Genomic DNA, 10,717 nt, shown 5'->3' on the forward strand with positions numbered 1-10,717 from the left:
CATTTAGTAACCACTCAGCAAATAGAAGATATTATTTATTGACTTGGAATTTTCTATAAATGGCATTTCTTTCCAGAAGACTTTTTCTAAATCATTACCAGTGACCTACAGGAAGGAAGAGTTTGTGGGTGACTCAGTAAATGTCTGACATTGATGTATAACAATATTAAGCAACTCACTGCTAAATCAAGAGATGCAAAGTGGAAAATTTATGCTGCCTAATTTTAATCACTTAAATACAAATGGAAGTATCTGTGCCTCTTCTGATTTCTAGAAAACTGGAAACCCCCAGTGACCAGACACAATAAAAGGTAGAAGTGACTCATCTGGAAGTCTGGGAATTCTCTCAGTATGAGATCTTCTGGGAAGACCTAGATATTCCCAGCCTTGCCTACACAGGGGCTTTCCTCACCCCTGACCTGTTTGTAGAAATTAAACTGCAGTTTTGCCTTTTCAGCTGCTACCATTGTATCCCTTCAAAATTTCTACTCGAGGTCTGATAGCAACCATTTACCAAACTTGTAAGTGACACTATGATATCATCTCCAGGTATACCCAAACACCATCACAATCATCTTGATTGCAGGAAGTAATTGATTTTGACTATGTGTACAAATAAACATTCCCCTTTCAAGCAATACTATGGGTAATAATCTTTTTTCTCGTTTAATATTATCACTAAGTTCTAGTTACCTGGTTCCGCTTTGGCCCAATCTGAGGGCCTTTATTTACATATGAATAAGTGTAAACTATCTTGTTAGAGCAGTCTTGCTACATGCCTCTCAGAAGACAGTAAGCTGTCTACTAGTAAACTACAGGGCCTGCAAATTATTGGAAGGTTACGTTGGGTAAGAACAATAGCAGCCTGTCTCCTCCTGCAAGATTTCTGGTGAATTGACATCATCTGAATTTTCTCAGCCAGGTATCTGTGGACAACCCATAGAACTTAAGGCATTATTGTATTAATTATCTGGGACTGAGCCTATTTGAAATAATCTTAGCATTGCCACTTTTGTCCGTATTTTTCTGTTGATATGAGCCTCTTAGGTTTCATCTTTTATCTTTGCACTTTATACACGTTGGAGTGTGTGGCTTTAGAGGAATTAGTTATATTGTAAAGGAGCCACCATTATAGATTTTGCTCATTTTGATAGTACAAAGCCACGCCCCTTAAATCATTTTCCTATCAGGTACCTAATTTCTTGTACTAATCACTGACTCATGAACAATACTGCCACCCTCTGGGAGTCCTGGGAAATGCCTTTCAATGTCAAAAATTGTTAGCATTGGTATGAGACTGGGGTACCCACAAAAATAAATGACAATATTTGTTTGAGTTGCAAGCTGGGGAAGAAAGGACTATGTTGTTGAGATGTCCCAACAATTGTGAGAAGGGAATTTTAGTTGTTTTAACAAAAGCTAAATGAAAGCAGGCATTTTATGAGAGTTCTTGGGGGTTTCCACGAGAGTGGGATCAATGCACCCTCTCCAAATACTTGAGAAGCGACTCACAGATGAAATGTCAGCCGGCCACAGTTTATTCATTGTGTGCTACCCTCGCCTGAGATACATGCTTCACTGCGGAAGTCCCTTTTGTCACCATGCTCATTCTGAGATCCCTCCCTCCCCAGTTTTCTTTTGTGGTTGAATGTCATCAGTGTTCTGATGGCCCCATGTTGGTGTGTGATGAAAAGACATTTTGAACCCACTCAGTTGGGTTGCAAATTAATATTGCAGTTCAGAGAAGCCTAGAAGAAAAACCCTATCATGATTGTTCAGAGAACAATCATGATATTCAAAATCTGGAGGAAGGGCTCTTCTCTTTGATCTCTGAGAAGCTCAAGGCTCCAACACCCAAAGCTAATAGCGGGCACTCTTTCTGCTCAGCTTTCTGCTGGATGAGATGACATCCACTAAGCAAGGTGGACCAGTTTCTATGTTGTGAGAGGAGCAAGCACAGCAGAAGTGCTAGTGACCTGTCCTGGACAGCAGGTCCCTAGCAATTGCCCTTGCCACACTCAGTCAGCTCCCCCTTCTTTCCTCTGGAATGGAAAGCACAAATAAAATGCAAAAGCAAGGTCAGCGTGACCCATATGCAGCTGGAGGAACCTGTCTGCCAGGCTCCCCTCAAATCATAAACACTTCTTCTGCCTTCAGTTCTATGCTTGCAATGTCATAAAGAAAATGAGCTTTCATTTTTACCACTTGTTTACATGGTTTTCAAAGACTTTGTTTATCAAACTGTGCTTGAGTAATAGTACTTCCTCCTTTTATACAACTAAGGTTAATAAAAATGCCAAGCAACTCTTCTGTTTTGTTTAGCTCATTCTGGCATTACCATAGGTAAACATATGTTCTCCTTTGTCTTTTGGTTTTGAAACTGCCTTTATTGAGCCCTAGAAGTCCAAGAACCCCAGACTGCTATAAACTACCAAGTGTCATTTTAGCTTGTCATGATCACTAATTAGAACTGTTTTTGTTTTTGTTTTTTGTTTTTTGTTTTTTCTTTGAGACAAAATCTCTGTCAGCTAGACTGGAATGCAGCGGCACAATCATAGCTCACTGCAGCCTTGACCTCTTGGGCTCAAGCCATCCTTCTGCCTCAGTCTCCTAAAGCCTTAGGATTACTGGCATGAGCCACCTCACCCAGCCAGAACTGTTCTTGAAGGCAAATTTTATGTCAACATAAAGAAGTTGATGGGAGGATTCCAGAGTCCTAATGTGCTGGGAAGGGAATGTCTGAACGCAGGGGAAAAAGTCTTGGAAGGACTAAGGCTGAGAATGAGGGACAGAGGACTAAAGATGAGCTTATCAAAGTATACTTTCATTAAAGGACATTTTACTCACAGATATTCTTACATCCAGTGGAAACTGGTGTTTAGAGATTCACGAAAATATCACTGCCTAGAATAGAGCCTGACATGTAGTAGGTACTCAACAGATAGAGAATGGATGAATATTGATAAGATGAGGGTAAGATCACTTTTTAGTTCTTATTGTTTTATCTTCTCTGGATTTGCCATGATAGAAAAATAAACTTTGTTTTAAAGAAGAAAGAAAACAATATGTCAGCTGAATTAGGAGAAGAACCCAGCATGTAAGCTGCAGAGCACAAGATGGTTTTCCCAAACCACAGCCTCAGCTGCACACAGCAATGAGACCAGGCAACCCAGCCAGATAATCATTATGTCTTCTGTTCTTCTTTTAATCTTTGGAAATAACTGATTCTCTAATTTTTTTTAAAAAAAGTTTGTTACAAAGCTATTAGAGAACAGAATATAATCTTGTAATGCCAAGTAATTAGCTTGAAATATGTCTGATACAGCAGTTTAGCTGAAAATCTAAATGTTATTGTGGAAAATCATAGTAAGCAGCAGCACTTAGAGTTGCAAAATGAAATGACACAGCAGAGAAAAAAGTTTTTGTATTACATTTGTCTCAGCATATATAGTGAATGTCTGATGTGTTTACTTATCCTAATGATCACAATAAATTCCATCAGAAAGCATGCTTTGAGGCCTTGCATTTTAAATGTAACTGACCAAGGTCTCTTAATTCAGTAATCTGCATTCAGAATGACAGTGTTTTCTCTGTCTTCTTAGGGTTGAGCAGAATATGGGTCACGATGGTGCCCTACTCACATGAAGCTGAAGGTAGTGACTACACTAGTTAACTGTCACCTGAGTCAACACAAGCAAATGAAATGCACCCAGAAAACTTAGGCCAAATGCTTTCTATCACTTAAAATACAGTATATAAAAGGGCTGCATAAGTGTTAGTTGTTGTGTTGTTGTTATTATAAAGCCACTTGAGAAACAATCATTATAGAAGAAAAAGTATCAGGAAAACTAAAAGAATGGAACTGGGGCCACGTGTTAACTGGGCTTTCTCTTTTTAAAATTTTTATTTTATTTTAAGTTCTGGGATACATGTGCAGGATGTGCAGGTTTGTTGCATAGGTAAATGTGGTTTACCTATAGTGGTTTGCCACACCTATCAACCCATCATCTAGGTATTAAGCCCAGCATGCACTAGGTATTTATTCTCATGATCTCCCTCGCTCCACCCCCACCCCCGACAGGCCCCAGTGTGTGTTTTTCCCTCCCCATGTCCATGTGTTCTCATTGTTCAGCTCCCACTTATGAGTGAGAACATGTAGTGTTTGGTTTTCTGTTTCTGTGTTAGTTTGCTGAGGATGATGGTTTCCAGCTCCATCCATGTCCCTGCAAAGAACATGATCTTGTTCCTTTTTATGACTGCATAGTATTCCATGGTGTATATGTACCATATTTTCTTCATCCAGTTTATTATTGACGGGCATTTAGGATGATTCCACATCTTTGCTATTGTGAACAGTGCTGCAATGAACATACATATGCATGTATCTTTATAATGGAATGATTTATATTCCTTTGGGTATATACCCAGTAATAGGATTGCTGGGTCAAATGGTATTTCTGGTTCTAGGCCTTTGAGGAATCACTACACTGTCTTCCACAATGGTTGAACTAATTTACATTCCCACCAACAGTGTAAAAGCATTCCCATTTCTCCACAACCTCGCCAGCATCTGTTGTTTCCTGACTTTTTAATAATCACCATTCTGACGCGTGAGATGGTATCTTTTTGTGGTTTTGATTTGCATTTCTCTAATGATCAGTGATGTTGAGCTTTTCTTCATATGTTTTTGGCCACATAAATGTCTTCTTTTGAGAAGTGTCTGTTCATGTCCTTTGCCCACTTTCTAATGGGATTGTTTGTTTTTTTCTTGTAAATTTGTTTAAGTTCTTTGTAGATTTTGGATATTAAGACTTTGTCAGATGGATAGATTGCAAACATTTTCTCCCATTCTGTAGGTTGTCTGTTCATTCTGATGATATTTTCTTTTGCTGTTCAGAAGTCCTTTAGTTTAATTAGATGCCATTTGTCAATTTTTGCTGTTGTTGCAATTGCTTTTGACATTTTCATCATTAATCTTTGCCTGTGCCTATGTTCTGAATGGTATTGCCAAGATTTTCTTCTAGGGTTTTATATAGTTTTGGGTTTTATATAGTTTTGGGTTTCACATTTAAGTCTTTAATTCATCTTGAGTTAATTTTTCTATAAGGTGTAAAGAAGGGGTCCAGTTTCAATTTTCTGCATATGGCTAGCCAGTTTTCCCAGCAAAATTTATTGAACAGGGAATCTTTCCCCATTGCTTGTTTTTGTCAGGTTTGTCAAAGATCAGATGGCTGTAGATGTGTGGTCTCATTTCTGAGATCTCTATTCTGTTCCATTGGTCAATGTGTCTGTTTTGATACCAGTATCATGCTGTTTTGGTTACTGTAGACTTGTAGTATAACTTGAAGTCAGGTAGCATGATGCCTCCAGCTTTGTTCTTTTTGCTTAGGATTGTCTTGGCTATACAGGCTCTTTTTTTGTTTCCATATGAATTTTAAAGTAGTTTTTTTCTAATTCTGTGAAGAATGTCAATGGTAGTTTAATGGGAATAGCATTGAATCTATAAATTACCTTGGCAGTATGGCCATGTTCACGATATTGATTCTTCCTATCATGAACATGGAATGTTTTTCCATTTGTTTGTGTACTCTCTGATTTCCTTGAGCAGTGGTTTGTAGTTCTCCTTGAAGAGGTCCTTCACTTCCCCTGTTAGCTGTATTCCTAGGTATTTTATCCTCTTTGTAGCATTGTGAATAGAATTCACTCATGATTTGGCTCTCTACCTGTCTATTGTTGGTATATAGGAATGCTTGTGATTTTTCCACATTGATTGTGTATGCTGAGACTGCTATAGTTGCTTATCAGCTTAAGAAGTTTTGGGCTGAGACGATGGGGTTTTCTAGATATAGGATTATGTCACCTGCAAACAGAGAGTTTGACTTCCTCTTTTCCTGTCTGAATACCGTTTATTTCTTTCTCTTGCTTGATTGCCCTGGCCAAAACTTCCAATAGTATGTTGAATAGGAGTGGTGAGAGAGGGCATCCTTGTCTTGTGCCAGTTTTCAAAGGCAATGCTTCCAGCTTTTGACCATTCAGTATGATATTGGCTGTTGGTTTGTCATAAGTGGCTCTTATTATTTTGAGCTATGTTCCATCATACCTAGTTTATTAGGAGTTTTTAACATGAAGGGATGTTGAATTTTATCAAAGTCCTTTTCTGAATCTATTGAGATAATCATGTGTTTTTTGTCTTTAGTTCTGTTTATGTGATGAATTATGTTTATTGATTTGCATATGTTGAACCAGTCTTGCATCCTGGGGATAAATCTGACTTGATCTTGGTGGATAAGCTTTTTGACGTCCTGCTGGATTCGGTTTGCCAGTATTTTATTGAGGATTTTTGCATTGATATTCACAATGATGTTTTCTTTTTTTGTTGTATCTCTGCAAGGCTTTGGTATCAGAATGATGCTGGCCTCATAAAGTGAGTTAGGGAGAAGACTCTCCTTTTCGATTGTTTCGAATAGTTTCAGAAGGAATGATATCAGCTCCTCTTTGTACCTCTGGTAGAATTCAACTGTAAGTTTCTCTGGTCCTGGGCTTTTTTTGGTTGGTAAGCTATTTATTACTGCCTTAATTTCAGAACTTGTTCTTGGCCTATTCAGGGATTCAACTTCTTCCTGGTTCAGTCTTGGGAGGATGTATGTGTCAGGAATTTATCCATTTCTTCTACATTTTCTAATTTATTTGCATAGAGATATTTATAGGAGTCTCTAATGGTTGTTTATATTTCTGTGGGTCAGTGGTGATACCATGTCCCCTTTATCATTTTTGTGTGTCTATTTGATTCTTCCCTCTTTTCTTCTTCATTAGTCTAGCTAGCAGTCTATCTATTTTATTAATTTTTTCAAAAAACCAGACCCTGAATTCATTGATTTTTTTGAAGGGTTTTTCATGTATCTTCTTCAGTTCTCCTCTGATCTTGGTTATTTCTTGTCCTCTGCTAGCTTTGGGGTTTGTTTGTTCTTTGTCCTCCAGTTGTGATGTTAGGGTGTCAATTTGAGATCTTTGTAGCTTTTCAATGTGGGCACTTAGTGCTATAAATTTCCCTCTTAACACTGCTTCAACTGCGTCTCAGAGATTCTGTTACATTGTCTCTTTGTTCTCATTGGTTTCAAAGAACTTCTTGATTTCTGCCTTAATTTCATTATTTACGAAGGAGTCATTCAGGACCAGGTTGTTCAATTCCCATGTAGTTGTGTGGTTTCGAGTGAGTTTCTTAATCTTGAGTTCTAATTTGATTGTGCTGTGGTATGAGAGAGTGTTTGTTATGATTTAAGTTCTTTTGCATTTGCTGAGGAGTGTTTTACTTCCAATTATGTGATCAATTTTAGAGTAGTGCCATGTGGCGCCAAGAAGAATGTATATTCTGTTGTTTTTTTGGGTGGAGAATTCTGTAGTTATCTATCAGGTCCACTTGATCTAGAGCTTAATTCAAGTCCTGAATATGCTTGTTAATTTTCTGTTTCAATGATCTGTCTAATATTGACAGTGGGGTGTTAAAGTTCCTCACTATTATTGTGTGGGAGTCTAAGTCTCTTTGTAGGTCTCTAAGAACTTGTTTTATGAATCTGGGTGTTCCCATATTGGGTGCATGTATATTTAGGATAGTTAGCGCTTCTTGTTGAGCTAATCCCCTTACCATTATGTAATGCCTTTCTTTGTCTTTTTTGATGTTTGTTAGTTTAAAGTCTGTTTTGTCAGAAACTAGGATTGCACCCCCTGCTTTTTTCTGCTTTCCATTTGTTTGGTAAATTTTCTTCCATCCCTTTATTTTGAGCTTATGTGTGTCTTTGTACTTGAGATTGGTCTCTTGAATACAGCACACTGATCGGTCGTGACTTTCTCCAACTTGCCATTCTGTGTCTTTTAGTTGGGGCATTTAGCCCCTTTATATTTAAAGTTAATATTCTTATGTGTGAATTTGATCCTGTCATCATGATGCTAGCTGGTTATTTTGCAGACTTAGTGATGTCATTGCTTCATAGTGTCATTGGTCTCTGTACTTCAGTTTGTTTTTGCAGTGGCTGGTAACACTTTTTTCTTTCCATATTTAGTGCTTCCTTCAGGAGCTCTTGCAAGGCAGGCCTGGTGATGATGAATTCCCTTAGCATTTGCTTGTCTGAAAAGAATTTATTTCTCCTTCACTTATGATGCTTAGTTTGGCCAGATATGAAATTCTGGGTTGGAAATTCTTTTATTTAAGAATGTTGAATATTGGCCCCTAATCTCTTCTGTTTTGTAGGGTTTCTGCTGAGAGGTCCACTGTTAGTCTGCTGTGCTTCCCTTTGTAGATGACCTGGCCTTTCTTTCTGGCTGCACTTAACATTTTTCCTTTCATTTTGACCTTGGAGAATCAGATGATTATGTGTTTTAGGGTTAATCTTCTCATGGAGTATCTTACTGGGGTTCCCTAGATTTCCTGAATTTGAATATTGGCCTGTCTTGTTAGGTTGGGGAAGTTCTCCTGGATGATATACTAAAGTATATTTTCCAAGTTGGTTCCATTCTCTCCATCTCTTTCAGGTACCCCAATCCATCATAGGTTCAGTCTTTTTACATAATCCCATAGTTCTTGGAGGTTTAGTTCATTCATTTTCATTCTTTTTTCCCTAATCTTGACTGCCTGTCTTATTTCAGCAAGATAGCCTCCAAGCTCTGAAATTCTTTCCTCTGCTTGGTCTATTTGGTTATTGATACTTGTGGTTGCATTATGAAGTTCTCATGTTATGTTTTTCAGCTCCATCAGGTCACTTATGTTCCTCTCTAAACTGGTTGTTCTGGTTGACAGCTCCTGTAGTGTTTTATCATGGTTCTTAGCTTCTTTGAGGCACCTTTAGCTCAGCAAAGTTCATTATTACCCACCTTCTGAAGCCTAATTCTGTCAATTCATCTATCTCAGACTCTGCACGCTTGCTGGAGAGGTGTTGTAATCATTTGGAGGAGAAGAGACCTTCCGGCTTTTTGAGTTTTCAGCATTTTTTCATTGACTCTTTTTCATCTTCCTGAGTTTATCTAGCTTTGATCTTGGAGGCTGCTGACTTTTGGATGGGGTTTTTGTGGGGAGCTTTTTGTTGATGCTGTTGTTGTTATTGCTTTCTGTTTTTCTTTTAGCAATCAAGCCCCTCTTCCATAGGGCTGCTGCAATTTGCAGGGGGTCCACTCCAGACCATATTCACCTGGGTTTCTCCTGCACCTATGTCACCAGTGGAGGCTACAGAACATCAAAGATGGCTGCCTACCCCTTCCTCTGGGATCTCTGTCCCACAGGGGCACTGACCTGATGCCAGCAGGAATGCTCCTGTATAAGGTGTCTGGTGACCCCCGTTGGGGAGTCTCACCGAGTCAGGAGGCATGCATTCTAGGACCTGCTTAATGAAGGACTCTGGCTGTCCCTTGGCAGAACGGGTGCTCTGCGCTGGGGGGAATCCCACTCATCTTGACTACCTGGATTCTCAGAGCCAGTGGGGGAAAAGACTAACTCTGCTGATTCATGGAGACTACAGCAACCCCTCCCACCAAGGGCTCCATCCCAGGGAGATCAGAGTTCTATATGTAAAGCCCTGGATGGAGGTTTTGAAATTCCTTCGGGGAGGCTCCACCCAGTGAGGAGGGATGGGTCAGGGTCTGGCCTTTAGGCAGTCTAGCCACGATCTGTCACAGCCGCTGTGCTGCGCTGTGGGGAATTCCTCTCGATCCAAATCATTCAACTCTCCGTCATCGGCAAGGGAAAAACGGCCAACTGGAACTGCAGTGATGGTTGCCACCCCTCCCCCAGGGAGTTCAGTCATCTTAGGCAGCAGGCAATCACACTGATATGGCCACCCCTCCCCCGGGGAACTCAGTAATCTTAGGCAGTCTCCAGCAGAGTGTCCACTGAGAATCTGCACAGCTCTGTACTTGGGACCCAAGGCCCTCATTAGGGGATCTCCCGATCCACAGATTGCACAGATCCCTGGAAAAAGCGTGGTTTCCTGGACAGGGTAGCACAATCACTCACTGCCTCTCTTGGCTGGTGGTGGGATCTCCCTTTGCCCCGTGTGGCTCCCAGGTGGGTTGTCACACCACCCTGCTTTTCCTCACTCTCTGTGGGTCATGCCAACCACCTAGTCAGTCCCAGCAAGAGAACCAGGATACTTCAGTTGTCAGTGCAGGATTCACTCACCATTTTTGTTCTTCTCAGTGGGAGCCTCCAACTGCAGCTGTTTCTATTCAGCCATCGTGGCTCCTCCCCACAATTTGGCAATCTTGACAACTCTCTTTCATTCATTTGTTCATCCACTCATTGACATAATTCATTCATTCACATCATTTATTCATTCATTCACATCATTTATTCATTCATTCATATATTCCACAAATATTTATGGCATACTACAGGGAGCTGAGTTCTAGAAACAGAATGATGACAATGCAGTTAGAAGACCTCAACACCTTCTCTGTCAGAGGGAAGATTTCAGCTATTAAGAAATCAGATTTGGGAGGGATGGTTAATTTCTGTAAATAAACTGGGGTCAGATATTCTTTCATGAATTCCAATCTAGGACCCTGAGGCTTTTCTATATGAAAAATATTAGTAATTTTGTTTTATTCCAAAAAATATATTATATTTAAGCTTCTCTTTAGACTTTATTTTAGACTGAAAGACATAAATGGCTATAAGCCCTGCAAGAATTCCTTAGGAATTAAAACTCCTTTCTTCAATCTCCTCTCTAAT

The sequence above is a fragment of the Homo sapiens genome, chromosome 8 (genome assembly GCF_000001405.40).
Source record: "Homo sapiens chromosome 8, GRCh38.p14 Primary Assembly".
Classification (NCBI taxonomy): Eukaryota; Metazoa; Chordata; class Mammalia; order Primates; family Hominidae; genus Homo; species Homo sapiens.